General features: G+C 40.4%; 1 protein-coding gene across 35 annotated transcripts in view, besides 1 other annotated feature; it reads right to left on the bottom strand.

Annotated features, from left to right (window-relative positions):
- KAT6B (lysine acetyltransferase 6B) overlaps nucleotides 1-19,518 on the bottom strand; it is a 207,689-nt gene that overhangs the window by 119,845 nt on the left and 68,326 nt on the right. The gene's annotated exons all lie outside the window — the stretch shown is intronic.
- Nucleotides 5,263-5,463: a silencer, noted in NCBI's record as "peak1019 fragment used in MPRA reporter construct". NCBI's record gives its function as "represses an SCP1 promoter by STARR-seq MPRAs in K562 erythroleukemia cells {active_cell/tissue: K562}" and the evidence as "EXISTENCE:reporter gene assay evidence [ECO:0000049][PMID:32103011]".

Below are 19,518 nucleotides of genomic sequence, written 5' to 3'. Positions count from 1 at the left end.
AATGCCACGAAATAAGAAATGAAGAAAAGTGTCCCAATTTGTATAAAATATAGGACTATGTATTATATCCTCCTTTGTATTTGTGATTTTGAAAGCCTAAAAACTGAATATGGCTGCTCATATTATAAACTGTATTCACAGCTGTTATAACTGATGTTAAAGAAAGAGGGAGGGATAGGAGAAAGCAAAATGCTCACATAATAAATAAGCTTTCTACAATACAGACAGAGAGCTAAATACAAGAGACATGGATGAACTTTGGCTAACAATATAGGAAGTTATATATATGAATGACTGCTTGATAGAAAATCTACTGGAAAGCTGGAATTCCTCCTCCAGCCCTACCCTTCAACCTTCATCTATCTTTCTATCTATCTATCTATCTATCTATCTATCTATCTATCCATCCATCCATTTAATCTATCCATCCATCCTTCAACCTTCATCTATCTGTCTATCCATACATACATACATACATACATACATGAGACAATCAATTAACATTCCCAAACAACCTAGAAATTAGGATATTTGCAGACTGAACTTGATAGGAGTTGAAGAAATGTTTAGGAGGAAGCCAGTCTAAAAGTCCTTTGTAATATTAAAAAAAAAATTGAGCATAATTTTTGAAAAGCACAGCATCTGCTTTTAAATTAATCATAAACACTTATTGCACCTGGCTGTGATAACTCACACCTATAATCCTAACACTTTAGGAGGCCAAGGTGGGAAGATCCCTTGAGCCCAGGAGGTCAAAACCAGTCTGGACAATATAGTAAAACTCTGTCTCTACAAAAAAATTAAAAATTAGGTGGGCATGGTGGCATACGCATGTAGTCCTAGCTACTCAGAAAGCTGAGGTGGGAAGATTGTTTGAGTCCAGGATCATGCCACTGCTCTCCAGCCTGAGCAACAGAGCAAGACCCTGTTTCTTAAAAAATAATAATAACAAAAATAAATAAAAATAAATTTAAAAATGAAACAGTACATTTTCCCCCATGTTATAAACACAATACACTAACATTCTAGAAAATGTATCAAAATATTTTTCAGGAAAAGTTAACTTGACATAGATATAAAAATCTCAAATATTACAAAGTATTAATTTTTAAAATCATGATGAGAAGAAAGACAGGGGAGGCATCAAAAGAAACCAACAACATGCTTTCAATAAACATGGCATGGAATTGTAAAAACAGAAAGTAGACTAAAGGCTGGGCACAGTGGCTCACACCTGTAATCCCAGCACTTTGGGAGGCTGAAGCAGGCGGATCACTTGAGGTCAGGAGTTTGAGACCAGCCTGGCCAACATGGTGAAACCCTGTCTCTACTAAAAATACAAAAAATTAGCCAGGCATGGTGGTGGGCAACTATAATCCCAGCTACTCAGGAAGCTGAGGCAGGAGAATCGTTTGAACCTGGAGGAGGTTGCAGTGAGTTGAGACTGCGCCACTGCACTCCAGCCTGGGCTACAGAGCAATACTTAGTCTCAAAAAAAAAAAAAAAAGAAAAAGAAAGTAGACTAAGGTTTAAAGTGAGTGAAGACAGCTGAAAACTATGTTCAATAAATTTTTTAAAGCATGTTTACACACACAGAATCACATGCATATATATGCTGTCATCTAGGAGCACAAATCCCAGAGGAATGCAAGCAGTGTTTATGAAATATCCTTATGTGTATCACTCTCCGCTGGACTACCCATAGAAATCAAAGAGAGGCAAAGTTACTTTGAGGATTTTAGAGGAAAGATGTTTCACAAAATACTCAATCTCAAAATACATTTTTTAAAATATATTCTTCCAAGAAGGAAGAAAAATACAGAAGACACTTCTCTATCAAGTATCAAAGAAAAAGATCTTGAAAATGGCAAGGGTAGACTAGATTAGATAAAAATACCTCAAGCCCAAGATCGGGAAAGAAATTTAAGAGAATGCATATAGCTGTTATGTGCTATCTGTATTTACTCCATGCCTTCTTCCATTAAAATGAGTGGTGACATCTGTTTTATACAAGTTCAAGTTTCCAGTACTTGACAAACTTCCTCTCAAACCCAAGAGGAATTACCAGGGAGGTTGCAGATCTGTAGTCCATGATGTTTGAAAAATCAGGGAGAGTGAGAAGGATGCAGATAATGGAATATGGAAAAATATCACCAAAAAAAAAAGAAAAAATGTGAAAGAAGAAAACTCAGGAAATTAAAATCAAGAAAATATTGCAATGACCATCAGCAAAAGGTTTAGAAAAAAAATTAAACATATTATTTGTGGGTGCCCACAGTGAAGTTATCTCTAGAAGCCAAGACAGAGTCCCTAAGCACTAAAACTCAAAAATTAAGCTCATTTCTCCTCCTGATAAGGCTGTTGAAAACTTCAACATAGGAAATGCCACGAGGGGGTATTGGGATTTTGAAAAGGCACAGAAAAAATTCTTTTCATGCCATTATTATTGAGAAAAGAGAAATATTAGTTTAGTTATTTTTTGAGATGGAGTTTCGCTCTTGTTGCCCAGGCTGGAGGGCAATGGCACGATCTTGGCTCACCGCAACCTCCGCCTCCTGGGTTCAAGCGACTCTCCTGCCTTAGCCTCCCAAATAGCTGGGATTACAGGCATGCGCCACCACGCCTGGCTAATATTTTTTTTTTTTTTTTTTTAGTAGAGATGGGGCTTCTCCATGTTGGCCAGGCTGGTCTCAAACTGTCAACCTCAGGTGATCCACCATGCCCAGTAAGAAATATTAGTTTAAAGGCGATTAGGGGAGGTTTTTCCTTTCAATAGACATCCTATTCAATAGATAAATGACCTCAAGAAAGCAGGAAAGATGAAAAAGTGAGAATGTTAGGGAAAAGAAGAGGCAGCTGACCACAAAAATGTACTCACTCCTCCCTTGACATACATGACTGAAATCTAAATGGTTTGGGGTGGGGCATGGAAACTGGGCACTCTGCTTACCCTATAAATACTACAACTGCTCCATAAGATTTCCTTCAGAACTGAGAATGGGTAATGAGTGCTGAGTACTCTATATAGACAAAGAACTTGGGGGAAGAAATTTAGGTCTGCTGTAGAACTTAAGAAGGTCCTAAATTATGTCAAAAACACCTTTTGCCAAAGAACCCCCTTCTCACCCAGAAGGCCAGTATCCATCCAGAACCCAAGAAAGCTAAGGGAAACCAGCGCACAGCTGTGAGGCAGAGAAGGTGAGCCTGGAGCTTATGCACAAAGGAAGATTATCCAGAAAGATGTGGCAGTTCTGTTAATGCAATGCTAACCCAAACTGAGGAGTTCTGCCTGCTATCCAGCCCATAATAAGCTGGACAGGGAACAATTTTTCTGTATACACAAGGGTAAACCCTAAAATAGATATAAGGGAAAAGGCCTTGCCTTACATTATATTTATTTATTTATTTAGAGATGTTGTCTTGCTCTGTCTCCCAGGCTGGAGTACAATGATGCGATCTCAGCTCACTGCAACCTTCACCTCCCAGGTTCAAGCGAGTCTCCTGCCTCAGCCTCCCAAGTAGCTGGGATTACAGGCAAATGCCACCACGCCCAGCTAATTTTTGTATTTTTAGTAGAGATGGGGTTTCGCCATTGTGGCAAGGCTAGTCTCGAACTCCTGACCTAAGGTGATCTGCCCACCTTGGCCTCTCGTGCTGGGATTACAGGTGTGAGCCACCATACACGGCCTTACTTACATTTTAATAAGGCTAAGATGGCCATTTCTAACTATTACTTTTCAGATTTCTCATGTCCCCAGTGGTTACTTTTCCCTCAACCTCTTCACATATAGACTTGTGGATACTCTAATTAAGAAACCTTGGTTCAGAGACCAAAAAGGAGAGAAGCTGCGGAACAATTCACAGTTGATTCAGGGAAAAGGAGTCAAGGCAGCATGTGGGCTTGCAGTAAGCAAGTCTCAGGGGGCTACCAGAGGAAAGATACACATAAAATAATTTTTAAACTATAAAGGAAAAAAAAGGAACGAAGAACTTATATCATGATTTAACTGACAGGAGGTTATCTAAACTACAAAAGTATATGAGCTGGAAAAGCAGAGAATCAGGGGGAATATACTAGGTTGACCCACATAAAATTCCCATTTTTATAGGCTAAAACAATTGAATATCAGTGTCTTAGTTCATTTTCTATTGCTTATAACAGAATGCCTGAAACTAGGCAACTTATAAAGAAAAGGAGTTTATTTCTCTTTCTTTTTTTTTTTTTTTTTTGAGACGGGGTCTGGCTCTGTTGCCCAGGCTGGAGTGCAATTTCGGCTCACTGCAACCTCCGCCTCCCAGGTTCAAGCGATTCTGCATCAGCCTCCCGAGTAGCTGGGACTACAGGCACGCAGCACCATGCCCAGCTAATTTTTGCATTTTCAGTAGAGATGGAGTTTCACCACTTTGGCCAGGATGGTTTCAATCTCTTGACCTCGTGATCTGCCCGCCTCGGCCTCCCAAAGTGCCGCGATTACAGGCATGAGCCACTGTGCCTGGCCAGGAACTTATTTCTTATAGTTATGAAGACTGAGAAGTCCAAGTTCGAGGGGCCTCACATCTGGTGGGACCTTCCCACTGGTGGGGAAGAATCTGCAGAATCTCATGGTAGTGCAGGGCATCACATGGCAAGAAGCTGAATGTGCTGGTTCAGGTCTCTCATACTCTTCTTATAAAGCCACCAGGTCCACTCCCATGATAACCCATCAGTCCATTAATTCATGAATTAACTCATTAATCTAGTAATCCATGAATGGATTAGTCCATTCATGAAGGCAAAGCCCTGGTGATCCAATCACCTCTTAAAGACTCCACCTCTCAATACTGCCACATTGGGGATTACATTTCAATGTAAGTTTTGGAGGGGACAAATATTCAAAACATAACAATCAGTAATTTTATAAGGTTCAAAGGAATAACTATTGCAATGTTTTGCATTGGAAAAGCCATCATGGCTGGGTGCAGTGGCTCACGCCTGTAATCCCAGCACTTTGGGAGGCCAAGACAGATGCATCACCTGAGGTCAAGAGTTTGAGACCAGCCTGGCCAACATTGTGAAACCCTGTCTCTACTAAAAATACAAAAATTAGGCGGGCATAGTGGTGGGCACTTGTAATCCCAGCTACTTGGGAAGCTGAGGTAGGAGAATTGCTTGAACCCAGGAGGCAGAGGAGGTTGCAGTGAGCCGAGACCATGCCATTGCACTCCAGCCTGGGCAACAACAGTGAAACTCTGCCTCAGAAAAAAAGAAAAAGAAAAAGAAAAAGAAAAAAGAAAAGTCACATGAAGCAAATGACTGCACTGAAGAAAAGCCATCACGAAGCAGTGTGACTGCACTGAAGAACACCAGAATGAATGGAGGTTTTGGGCTCAATATGAAGGATGTACTGCTGACAAACAGGACAGCCAAATCAGAAACTGGAGGTGTCCAGAAGGAACACAGTAACACCCTCTCAAGAGATTTCTGTACTGGCTAGTCTCTAAGACCACCCAATGTTCTGAAAAGTTCCAAATGTTCTGAAAGTTCTTGCCCATTATGTCTAAGCAAATCGTGGTGGGTTTGGCTGGTTCTGTTTGTAGTGAGAGCAGACAACTCTCTGTAGTGAAAGGAATGTATCCTGAAAAGAGAATGGAACAAGAGAAATTCAGGAAGGCAAGAAAATAACTATTTCTACCACTTGCAGCCCACCCGCTGCAGAACTTAAATATCCTGCTTTGATCACAGTGGAATCTCAACTGACGTCTGCAGGCTGGAAGAATGAGCCCTACAAACCAGTGACATAAATTTAAAGGAAGGATTGACAGCACTGCTGAAATGCAGTAAAGGGGTCCAGAAAGGAAGCAGTCACTGGCATGTGGGGACTTAAACTGCAAAGCTGTGACCAGGTAGGTGTGGGATGGGCAGTTTGGGACCTCAAGAGCAGAGGGCACTCCAGAGGCGGACGCTCCAGAAAGGCCCAGCAGGAACAGGAGACAATAAATTTAGCCGGAAAGGGGTCTGGGTGTTAAGTCAGAAAAGTGGACTGAAGCCAAGACTGTAAACCATCCCAACTCCCAAGCTCAGGTTTTCACGAAGAAGTCTGCTCACTCTGGTCTCTTAAGCATAGTTTATAGAGGAAACAGAAGACCAAAGTAAGAAAAGTGGTGATTTCAAAGTAGATAAAAGGGTGGAAATGATTATTTTCTTGCCTTCTTGATTTTCTCTTATCCCATATTCTTTTCAGAATATATTCTTTTCACATCTACCATTCTTCTCTACTCTTACTACAGAGAGAACCAACCAAATCCACCAGAATTTGCTTAAACTAAATATGCACATCTTTCAAATGTCCCAATATTTAGGATCCAGACAAAAATATAAAAAGGGAAAAAAAAGATTTTTTTTTTGAGGTGGAGTCCCTATCACCCAGGCTGGAGTGCAGTGGCACGATCTTGGCTCACCACAACCTTTGCCTCCTGAGTTCAAGCAATTATCCTGCCTCAGCCTCCTGAGTAGCTGGGATTACAGGAGTGCACCACCACGTCCAGCTAGTTTTTGTATTTTTAGTGGAGACGGGGTTTTACCATGTTGGTCAGGCTGGTCTCGAACTCCTGACCTCAGGTGATCCACCTGCCTCGGCCTCCCAAAGTGCTGGGATTTCAGGTGTGAGATACTGTGCCCAGCCAATCCTATGGTTTTCTATTAATCAGTTATTGCTATATTTTTTCCTATTTTTCAGACCAGATTTTGCCATATTTCACTCTTAATGGTGTACAAACCATATTAAAAAGTCTCATCATTTTTATTAAACCAATTTTTCTACATAATCCTCTTTAATGAAAATATACACCTCAGCCGAAATGTGAGAAGGGCAACAACAGCATACACTTTTGAGCCCTTATGTGCAAGACAGTGGCATTGCAAGGCATGGATGGAAGGAGTGGTCCACTCAGAGTGCAGGCAATAGGGAGGGCCTTGTCAGTAGGGAATTTAAAAATAGTAATAAACCGACCAAGAGTCAGTTTGCTTTTTATTATCACCCTACACCGGCAATTCCAGACAATTCTAACTCCTGCCTGCTGGGGCTGACAGCTCCCATCACAGCCCTCTTCTCCTTAATCCACCGCTAGTGCCCAACAACGTATTAAATGCTTTACAGAGACTCTCTTTTAACCCTCATTTTACAGACAAGAAAACAGAGTCTGGCAGACTGAGTTAAATGGGGGAATGAGGATTTACCCTAGGCAGCCCAATTCCCAAGCCCACCTGTTTAACCTGCAGGCCACCACCACTCAGGGAAAAGGAGCAAAAGGCAGCAGAAGCCCAGGGTTGGGTTCAGCTGAGAGGCAACAGCTGAATTTGGATGTCATCGTCTATTAGCCTACCGCCTACCTTTTCCATCAGTCAATCAACAACTGCCTGGAGCTCAGAGAACACTTTCTACTTATTAATTTATTGCCCATTTCTTGACGGTTTCCCTAGAGAGCAGGCAGGTTAACTCTGCCACACACCTAGTCGCTGTGGCCTGAGGCAATGATCTCTCACAACTGACAGGCAATGGCAAAAAACTACCTCATGAAAATATTTTGGACTCCTTGGTGTTCACTTTAATGGGCAAGGACATCTGTGTTTTTTTGTACTGTCAAATTCCCATAATAGAAAAATTTTTAATTGCTTCACTTTTAGACTATCTATGCCTTTTACTGGACATCATCATATTGAGAGAAGGCAGGATATAAATAAGAAATAAAAACCCTTCTTCACTAGCTAATAATTTAACTGTGCAAATAACTCATTTTGTCTCCCCAGTTTCTACATCTAGTAAGTGTAATTTTAAGTTACGTCTTCAAAATTCTAGTGAAGGTAGAAGTTCTCTAACAATCTAAACTCCTTAGACCATCAAACTACAAATAGAGGCCACTGCTGTGAAGACTTCTGAAACTAAGATGAAGAAATTCCTCCTCATCCCATTCCCCAGTTACTAAAGGGGGGAGGATCACAGAAATAAAGGTGTGATTAAGTTCACAAATTTAAATTTTAAAAATCAATACATACTGAATGTGAGAAGAACTATGTAGTCACTTCAGAGATGTGAAATATCCAACCAAGCCTGGACTCCCAAAGACTGGATATATTAACACAGCTAAAGAAAGGAGGTGTCAAACAGAAAGCTGGCCAGTCATCAAGGGATGCTGAGGGGAAAGCAAGTGTGGGAGCAGAATTTTACAATGCCCTCAAGATTTGGGCCCCTGTACAATCTCTCCCTATGAGCATACACAGGGCTAGGCTTTTAAAGGGGGTCAGAGATTGTAAAGACCAAAAGTGTGTGGGAGATTTTCCAGCTGACCTTGAAGAAGCAAAATGCTACATTGTAGAGAGGGCCATGTGGCAGGGCAGCCTCTGGGAGAAGAGGACCTCAGTCTTACAACCATAAGGCACTGAATTCCACCAACAACCAGTGAGCTTATGAGACCACATCCCTGCTGACATTTTGATTTCAGCCTGGTGAGTCCTTGAGCAGGGGACCCAGTTACCTGTGCCTGGACTCATAGAAACTGTGAGATAATATACTTTCATTGTTTTAAGCTGCTAACTTGTGGTTATGTGTTACACTGTAATTGAAAACTAATACAGTGAGTCTCCAGAGAAGCTGGCAGTACCCATCTAAACATTGTCCAGACATAGAGAAGGCCATCCTTGTTGTGAGACAGGTGTTTGATGCCATGGAAACTGTGCTCATCTAACTCATGGTTTGGATGCCATGCTCACTAATACACACCTGGCCTCCTACACAGGTCTGCCTTAAGGGAGATAATGTACTGACCATCCACATGGAGTATCTCAGTCCCTGGAACATTTACTTTTCAGGTAAATAAACAAATAAATATGCTGGCCTCCTGATTCCATACACCAGTTTCTTCAGCTAGGCTCCTGTAAGTCTACCCCTGAGAGACAGCTCCACCCTTGATATCCACAGAAAATCAAGTTAAAATCTGACAAAGCTAAGAATTAGCCAGACCCTGGACTATATTAGTCTTACTGCCACAAACAGTGGCTTAAAACAACACCCATTCATGAGCTCACAGCTGAGTGGGTCAGAAATCCAGTCAGGCTCAGCTGGGTTCTCTGCTTAGGGTCTCACAGAGCCAAAATCAAGGTGTCAGCCAGACTCTGCTCTTATCCATGAGCTCTTAGGAAAAATTCACCTCCAAGCTCGTTTAGGTTGTTAGAATAATTCGGTTCCTAGCGGTTGTAGGACTGAGGTCCCTGTTTCTTTGCTGGCTGCCAGCTGGGGACCATGCTCAGTTTCTAGAAGCTACCCACATTGCTTGGCACATGGTCCCTTTCATCTTCGCAGTCAACATCAAATCCTATTCATGCTTCAGATCACTCTTTCTTCCCACCTGCTGGAGAATATGGTTTCTAAGGGGCTTGTGTGATTAGATCAGCCCACCTGGATAGTCTCCCTCTGCCAAGCAAGGTAGTAGAATCATGGGTGATATCTCAAACATGCATAGGTTCCACCTATACTCAAAGGGGAAGATATAATACAAAGGGCAGGGTCACTGGGGGTCTCTCAGGATTCTGCTACCCACACTGGACCATGGCAATCCGACAAGGTAATGAATGCCACCCTGGGAGGGCTCCTAAAAGAGAAGAGCCAGTCAGCTTCCTACAGGAGACCCTTCATATACCACAATACTGCCAAAATCCCTGTTCGTTTAAAAGCAATTAGCATATTTCCCCGTTGTTTTCCAATATTCTTAGTGCTATACATTGTTACTTTTTCCTTCTTCTGAGCTGGAACCTTATGAATGTATTTTGCCCACTCACAGAAATCAAGTTTCATAAAAATTAAGCAGAAACTATAGACCAAATACTGAACATCTACTAAGTATGAGACAATATGTCAAGTACTGTGAAATATGAAAATAATATTAACTCTTCTCAAAGGAGTTGATAAGTAATGCAAGCCAAAGTGAAGATAATATAACATGATTAATGATGCCACACTTAATATTAGTCAAAAGGAAAGAATTAATAAAAGATTCACACCAAATTACCACAGTTTTTAACGTAGGCCTGACAGCCAGAGTATTCCTACAGATGCCACTGGTAACAAGTAGATATGAAGATCTTTAAAATGTTACCACTATGATTCTAAAATTTTGGGATGTTTACTGTGTATATTATGTTTATGTATAAACAAGCAAAAAAAATCAGAGGAAATACACCAAAGTAGTTTAGCTATTTGAATAGTCGGTTTACAGGAGATTTTAACTGTATTTTTATTAGTTTTTTAAATTTTCTCATTTTTCCCCAGTAAGCATATGGTACTCTTAGAACCAGAAAATATATATCTACACGCATTTATATTGGGCAAATCATGGTATTTGCCCCAACTAATCTTTCCTTCAAGCCAAAAACTGTCTTGTCCACAGCTCCCCCTGCTTTGGAAAGCATGGGCAATTTGGATATGGCACAAAAAAGATCAGGAGAGCCATTCAGACCCAGCTAACTGGAACGTGAACAAGGAAACAAACTTGTTGACAGCAAGACTTAGAGCTGAAAGGATACAAGAGAGCTGAAACTACCAAGAGCCCCTGCAAACTGATGGCATGAGAGAACAGAAATGATTAGTAAAGAGGAGCTATGGGCTAGAGAGAAGTACACGAAACAGAGATTGAGGGAGCCAACAGAAGAAAGGAGAGAGCAGACAGGCTATCGTGCAGAGGACGCCCAAGACAGAGACAGAGAAAAGCAGGGACGGATGGGTGGGTGGAGGGATGGGTGGACAGGAGGACAAGGAGAGCCAGAGTGAGTATGCAGTCCTCCTAGCACTTCTTTGATTTCTGACAAGTTTCCAGCTCTCTTTTTAACAAATGATTTTCCATTCCTTTCAACCAAAATGAGCCTAATCAAAATGACATTAAAAACATTACTTCTATATGTCTAAAAATTAAAATAAAAGTTTTTAAAGATCTTCTAAAAGACACTTTCTTAATTTAGATTTGTTTTTACTTCTTCAAATCCCAGTTCCTCCCCACAAACTGATGAGAATCTCTGAATCTCTCCAACCCCAGCACTCACAAACAGAACAATCCCAGTCAGAAGAGGATTTGCCTATTAGCGACACTATCTCCACCAAGACAGCAGCCTTATTAAATTACAACTGTTTGAACAAGGTCAAGCACTCAGAGTTTAATTCAAAGTGTTTCCAGGTATAATGCTGTCAGGTCAACTTAAACAAGCCAACAGAGGCTTGGAGGCTGATTAAATATTAAAACAGAATCTTTCACATCTGTTTTTACCCAAGGATGAAATTACTGTACATCACTTCAATCAGCTCATTAATACACTACACACACATCTTGCCTCAAAGGTTACAGGAATATCAATGCTTCAGAGGCCTGCAGTGAAACCTGCCCACACAGCCAGAAGTGAGGTCACTACATACTTTACAGAACGTCAATATTTCTTTATAAAATGTGAGAGATAATCAGTTAGACATAGACACATTTTAAATTAAAGCATGAAAACCTCCGTGAAGTTAAGCCAGTTGCTTTTGATCTGAACCTTTTCATCATTCATTCAGTTGGCTTTGACAGGTAACTGGATAGCATACGTTGAGCAAAAATTTTGATTCAACGGTAATTATTTTATAAAATGGAGGGTTGTCACATCCAAGTAGAGGGTCATGGTGATCACATTTTTTAACTTATAAAAGCACAAATATAAAATATAAAAGATATTTTAAGTGTAAAAGATATTTAAGATTTTATACTTAAAATATCTTTTATATATATAAACATTTCAAAGGACACACACTTAGGACACTCAAGAATATATACTTTCATGGAGTATTAGGTGAATGAGCAGTTGAGAATTTTCTGCTTTTAAAACTCCTATAACAAGGAATGACACCTGGACAAACAGTCAAGAATCACTTAGAATAGGTCTCTGTTTAACCCCCACTCCCCCAACATTTGCACTCAATGAATAATTCTTACGCTGTTTTGTAGCACTATGTGGTAGGCAGTGATAGCTATTGGCTGGGACTGCTATGCACATTTCCCACCCATGCCTCTTCTTCTGGTATATCACCCCCTTTCATCTGGGAACCTCGCTAGTCCTTGACAGTTGTCAAACACAGTGCCCTCACCCCCTAGCCAGTTGAGTGAGCACACTCTTCAAACCACAGTCCTCATGACCTGGGTGACAGTCTAAAGCATGGGCACATGCCTCCAACAGGCTGCTCCTACACGTGCGCTGGAAAAGAAAAGTCTTTGGGGTTGCCCACCTGGCAGAAGGTATGGGCAGCCATTTTCCCACCCCCAACAAGACAGCCAACAAGCAAAACGCAAAACCTACTCGCAGACAGAGTGAGCAGAGCTCAAGATGTACAAAAACAGCACTGACCACATCCTCTGAGCAACTGGAGCCAACTGGGCCCAATCCACCTCTACTTTCTGTTTTGAACATTAGGTGTCTCTAGCTAAGTCTGATATGAATTAATTAATAATATATTTCAATAAGATATTTTAAATTAGTTCAATATAGACAAGGATGACAAATTTTAAATATTTAACATTTGACTAAAAATAATTGTGTTAGTATCAATGTTACTTGTGAGATGTTTCATTGTGATACTGCCCTAAGGTCACTTAATTAATGTTAACATTATCTGTGTTTAGGTATGTTAGTAATAAAAAAAATCAGAAAAGTTATTCTGACCCAAAGTACAGATAAAATCACACTTTGCTCTAAGAATCCTACTGACCTCTCTTTTTTCTGAAGTTCTACAGAACTTACTTATACACTATAGAACACTTACCTAGAGATTTTAATCTTGCACTGCTTTCTTACTGTTTCATGTGTAATTGATTTAAAGTTTTATTAATTGTTTTGCTATGTTAAAAACAATAAAGTTTGCTTAAATATAAGGTATTTCAAATTAGTTCAATATAGACTAGGATGACAAATTTTAACTATTTAACATTTGACCAAAAATAATGATGTTGGTATCAATGTTATTTGTGAGATCTGTTTCATGGTAATACTGCCCTAAGGTCACTTACTTACTCAGGAGTAGAGGACAAACTTACACCCAAAAAAGGGTGACTATTGAGTAACAAAACCTTCAAAACCCAACTTAAACACTGCAGGCTAAGGAAAAATTATTCAAGAACCATTTGTGAGATGCTGGAGTTTTAAAAATTCATTTAGAGGTCGGGCGCGGTGGCTCATGCCTGTAATCCCAGCACTTTGACAGGCTAAGGTGGGTGGATCACCAGAGGTCAGGAGTTCGAGACCAGCCTGGCCAACGTGGTGAAACCCCATCTCTACTAAAAATATACAAAATTAGCCAGGCATGGTGGCAGGCGCCTGTAATCCCAGCTACTGGGGAGGGTGAGGCAGGAGAATCCCTTGAACCCAAGAGGCAGAAGTTGCATGAGCCGAGATCGCGCCATTGCATTCTAGCCTGACTGACAAGAAAGAAACTCCGTCTCAAATAATAATAATAATAATAATAATAATAATAATAATAATAATTCATTTAGAATTTTAGAAATAGTTGTTTCCATGAGTACATGAAAAACATTTTATTTCTTTGAATTCATTGATACTATTTTTTTTTTTTGAGATGGAGTACTGCTCTGTCACCCAGGCTGGAGTGCAGTGGCGCAATCTCAGCTCACTGCAACCTCCGCCTCTTGGGTTCAAGCAACTTTCTTGCCTCAGCCTCCCAAGTAGCTGAGATTACAGGTGCCTGCCACCATGCTCGGCTATTTTTTTTTTTTTTTGTATTTTTAGTACAGACGGGGGTTTCACCATGTTGGCCAGGCTGGTTTTGAACTCCTGACCTCAAGTGATCCACCCACCTCAGCCTCCCAGAGTGCTAGGATTACAGGAATGAGCCACCGTGCCCAGCCGGTTGATTCTAAATAAAGGAATGATTTGGGAGATGAAACTCAAAGTTTCATTTCCCCTCCCCCAGGATATGATTACATTTGAAACTGAAGGTGACTGTAAGCACAGAACTGTCTTAGCCTTCTTTCTTCTGCTATAGCACAGTAATAGTATTTCAGTAGGAAAACCATGGGACACAGAGCCAGGACACCCAAGTGGAAGTTCTTTCTCTGTCACTGACTGGCCTTGTGAAAATAAAACAGACAGTTCAAAACTTCTTTTGAACCTGTTCTCTTAACTGCATGAGACTAACGCCCACATTATCCACTATATAAGAGGGCAGTGAATAGGAATTTGAGGCTATGGTGAGCAATGATCAGCCACTGCGCTCCAGCCTTGAGCAACAGAGTAAGACCCTATTCCCTTAAAAAAAAAAAATTGTAGAAAGAAGGCAGTGAAGACCCACTGAGACAATGTTAGAAAAAACAAAACCAGTATCATGAGTTTGTGTCATGTGCTATGTGCAAACATGATCTTAGTCATCTTCTAAGGAGAAAACAAAGCTCAAAAAGGCTACTCCTAACTTGTGCAAAGTCATAGCACAGGTAGAAGCAGCAGCTCAGTCCAAAGCCCACATCCTTCCCCTCACCACACTGCCTCCAGTAACTGCAGAACAAGGAAGCTGTACTCCTGGACCCACTGAGGATCCAAATCCTAGGTGCTTTTCCCTTTTTGTACCAATGCCTTTCACGTTTGTTTAAAAAGTAAACATTCTACAATAAACACTTTGTTGCTGTTTTTTTTTTAACTAAAGAAACATATAGATTTATTGTTGACAAAGAAAAATTCCAGCAAACACATATAAGGGCCTATGGTGTTTTGCTGAACAAAATAATTTAAAAGTGTGCTTGTCTGTTATGCTTGCTATGGCTAAAATTCCTAATTTAACATGGCAAAAATAATCTGCAAATGAATTATAGCTAATTGCCTATGGCGTTTTCAAGTTCTAAAGAATGAAACAGCCCCCAAAATTTCAATTTTTAGAGCCATAGATTCCTGTTTATAGATTCCTAGTGTTCATTTACTGAGCGTAAGCAGTTATGAAGACATTTAAATTTTTAATAGGATGTACTTCTTTAAAGAAAAGCTGAAACTTCCTGTTTAGTGATTTAATCATGACACAAGGTGAAAGTATTTAAAAATCAAGTATCTATTGGATGAAGTTCACTGCTAAGACACAGAATAGATGCTGGCCCCATCTTTTATATTCTGTAGGATGCAAACTACATGCCTTGCTAGGGGGTAACATAAAAAAGAAAGTCACCTGGTAGTGGTGACTTACTGAATTTTCTCTGCCCGTAAAGTTTAATGCAGGTAAAATGACTTAATTAACTAATGGGGCTGAGGGATAAGGGTTGTGCCTACCACTGTGGCCCCCACAGTGGAGAGGGCACTTTTGCCACCGCTCTAGGTCCAGCAGTGTGCATTCTTCCCCAGGCAGAAAACAGGTACTCTAGGTGCACAATCAGATTACTTCTGGGACAGACACTTCTTGTCATGTTAGAGTGGGGAGCGGGGGAGAGGAAGAGGTGGTGCACGCCAGGATTTGCGTCTGTGCCAGGGCTTGTTTCAAGGCTGGAGAAGGATGCAGTGAAACCAGAAGAAGGTTAGGCTCAGGATTATAATAAAAACTTTCAAATACTTACAAAAAGGGCTCTCTGAAATCTTAAACCATTAAATTTAAACACTGGCAGTTAATAAAACACAAAGCTATTTGTTTAACAGAAAATAGAATCCCAGTATGGCATAATCTTATACCATACACAAATTCACACTTGAACAATATAATCAAGTAGAGTAAACCATATTAAATGTAAAGTCAATAAATTCTTTCTTTGATTGTTGACCCCACACACACACCAAAGAAAAGACTATAAGGGATTTAACAGAAGGAAATTAATCATCATAATACTTTGGTTCAATGCTGATCTAGGGTGAGATAATTTGGGCATTAGTACAGTTTACGTGAAATAAGATTTAAAGCAGCACATTTAAAACAAGCAGAATTCATTAAACAACCTCTCAAAAGGATCATTTCCTCTAATTATTGCTTTTATAACAGAAGACAAAGGCAACCCAATGTAAGTTCATAAAATCTACAATTAGCTGCCAAAATCTTAGCAGATAAAATTAGAAGAGAAAGCATATTTGGAAGCACAATTGGTAAAAAGTTCTGTTATCTTATTTCTAAAAAGGCATTTGCTCTTTCTTTCTACCCATAATCGTTTAAAGTACACAAATAGGCCGGGTGTTGTGGCTCATGCCTGTAATCCCAGCACTTTGGGAGGCCAAGGCAGGTGGATCACTTGAGGTCAGGAGTTTGAGACCAGCCTGGCCAAAATAGTGAAACCCCATCTCTACTAAAAATACAAAAATTAGCTGGGCGTGGTGGCGTGTCCTGTAGTCCCGGCTACTCAGAGGCTAAGGCAGGAGAATAGCTTGAACCCAGGAGGCGGGGGTTGCAGTGAGCCGAGATCCCGTGCCACTGTACTCCAGCCTGGGTGATGGAGTAAGACCACCATCTCAAAAATAAATAAATAAATAAAAAACTAAAGTACACAAATATTATGGACTAGATATTATGGTAGGCCCATGACAAAGAGGAATAAAAAGGCAAAGCTAAGCTAGGTGATCTAGCAGCATATGGTCCTGGAGAGAGGGGGTTTATAAAAGTCCTCACAATACTTTCAGACAAGTGTGCTAACCTGGGCTGTACCTAAGAGGCTATAGGAGAGAAAAGCAGCTGACTGGCTGACTGGAACATTTTCACATCTGGGCTGAGTCTTTAAAGGAAAAGAAAAAGAAGGAGTCTGAAAAACAAGGTTAAACAAGAGGGAAAGGTACATATCCCATATTTCAGGCAAAAAAAAACAACAACAACAACAACAACAAAAAAGCAGTGTGTGGAATGGTACAGAGCTAGAATATTTTTAGGGAATCTTTGGACATAGGAAGGGGATAAGAGGAAGTCATGCTGGGGAAGGTAAAGCTGGAAAGATTGATAGGAACAAGATTAAGGGCCAGGCATGGTGGCTCATGCCTATAATCCCAGCACTCGAATCCCAAGAGTTCGAGACCAGCCTGGCCAACACGGTGAAACTTCATCTTTATTAAAAATACAAAAATTAGCTAGGCATGGTAGCTCACACCTGTAGTCCCAGCTACGCAGGTGGCTGGGGCACGAGAATCGCTTGAACCCGGGAAGTGAAGGTTGTAGTGAGCTGAGATTGCACCACTGCACTCCAGGCTGCCTGGGCCAGAAAGACTCTGCCTCAAAAAAATAAGGAATAAGATTAAGAAGAAGAGCGTTTTGGTGAAACTATGGAATTAATTCAAGCTTTTTATGCCTTACTCATAGGGCCTATTGGGAAGATATTTAAGACCTGATCAAAATCTGTCATATTATTTCCTAAACTTTTCAGTATTACACAATTAATGTTTTAACCATAATAATAATAATAATAATAATATGATTAAAGGGCAAAGTGAAAAGGCAACTTATGAATGGGAGAAAATATTTTCAACCAAATATCTGATAAGGCATTAATACCCGGAATATATAAATAACTCCTACAAATCAAAAAAACAACAAACTAATGCAATTAAAAAATGGGCAAAGCACTTCAAAAGACATTTCTCCAAAGAAGATATACAAATGGGCAAGAAGCATATAAAAAGATGTTCAACATCACTAATCATTAGAGAAATGCAAATCAAAACCATAATGAAATATCACCTCAGACCCATTAAAATGGCAAAAAAAAAAAAACCAAGTGTTGATAAGGATATGAAGCAATGGTAATCTCTGTGCACTGCTGGTGGGAATGTAAAATGGCGTAGCTGCTATAAAGAACAGTTTGGCGGCTCCTCAAAGAATTAAAAACAGAATGATGATCCAGCAATCCCCTTCTGGGTATATAGCCAAAAGGATCTCAAAGAGATTTTTGCTTACCCATGTTCACTGCAGTAGTGTTCACAGGAGCCGAAAGGTAGAAGTACCCTAAATGTTCACCAACAGACAACTAGATAAAGCAAATGTGGTCTATCCATACAATGGAATATTATTCATCCTTAAAAAGAAGGAAATCTTGTCACATGCTACAACATGGATGAACCTTGAGGACATTAAGCTAAGTGAAATAAACCAGTAAGAAAAAAACAAATACTGCATTATTCCACTGATGTGAGTTATCGAAAGTAATCAAACTCTTAGCAACAAAAAGTAGAATGGTGGTTGGTAGAGGCTGGCAGAAGCAGGGAATCAGGAATTGCTTCCTGGGTACAGAGTTTCGGTTTTACAAGATAAAAAAACTCTAAAGATCTGTTGCACTAACTGTTGCATACAGTTAACACTACCATACTACACACTTAAAAATGGCAAAGATGGTAAATTTAATGTTATGTGGTTTTTTTAAACCATAATCAACAAACAAACCAAAAATAACAACATGGCCGAGCACGGTGGCTCATGCCTATAATCCTAGCACTTGGGGAGGCCGAGGTGGGTGGATCACTTGAGGTCAGGAGTTCGAGACCAGCCTGGTGAACATGGTGAAACCCCGTCTCTACTAAAAGTACGAAAATTAGCTGGGCGTGGTGGCTCATGCCTATAGTTCCAGCTACTTGGGAGGCTGAGGCAGGAGAATGGCTTGAACCCGGCAAGCGAAGTTGCAGCGAGCCGAGATCGTGCCATTGCACTCCAGCCTGGGCGACAGAGGGAGACTCCGTCTCAAGGGAAAAAAGAGAGAAAAATATGATTAAAGGCTGCAAAGTTTCAGGCTAATTCATAAGGGGTCCCTCATGCCAATATGGGGACGTGACCTTTATTATTAGCTGTATGTTACATCAACAAATTTAGTGTTCAAGCTAGTAAAATTTCAAATTTCTCAGCCAACACAGTAATTGCTGGCAAGTTGTATGCTTGAAACCTGCAGAGTATAAATAAGGGAAAGTGTGCTAAATTCTAAAATCCACTCCAGTCTACTGGGGTTGAGATTGTTGATTGATTTTGTCATCATGGAAAGCTATTTCAGGATTTAGTAACATTAAAACCACTAATTTTGGCTGGGCGTGGTGGCTCATGCCTATAATCCCAGCACTTTGGGAGGCTGAGGTGGGCAGATCACCTGAGATCGGGAGTTCAAGACTAGCCTGGCCAATATGGTGAAACCCCATCTCTATTAAAAATACAAAAATTAGCTGGGCGTGGTGGTGCATGCCTGTAATCCCAGCTACTCGGGAGGCTGAGCCAGGAGAATCGCTTGAACCCCAGAGATGGAGGTTGCAGTGAGCTGAGATTGCGTCATCACACTCCAGCCTAGGCAACAAGAACGAAACTCTGTCTTTAAAAAAAAACAAAAAACAAAAAAAAAAACCCACTGATTTCTAGACAGTGTTTTAAAAAGAAAATATTATCTTAAATAAAGCCAAACTTTCAGTTATTAAAAAGTCTATTTAGTCTAAATCCAAATTCATTTTATCCAATGTCAAGCTTTTCCCCTAAGAACAGCAGTGAGGAAAAAGAGAGGGGTCCAAGGAATGAAAGGCGGCAAGTGTGAGGAAAGGGAAAG

Source organism: Homo sapiens, chromosome 10 (assembly GCF_000001405.40).
Source record: "Homo sapiens chromosome 10, GRCh38.p14 Primary Assembly".
Lineage (NCBI taxonomy): Eukaryota > Metazoa > Chordata > Mammalia > Primates > Hominidae > Homo > Homo sapiens.
The sequence above is the reverse complement of the archived record's forward strand: the minus strand, read 5'-3'. Positions and strand labels throughout refer to the sequence as shown.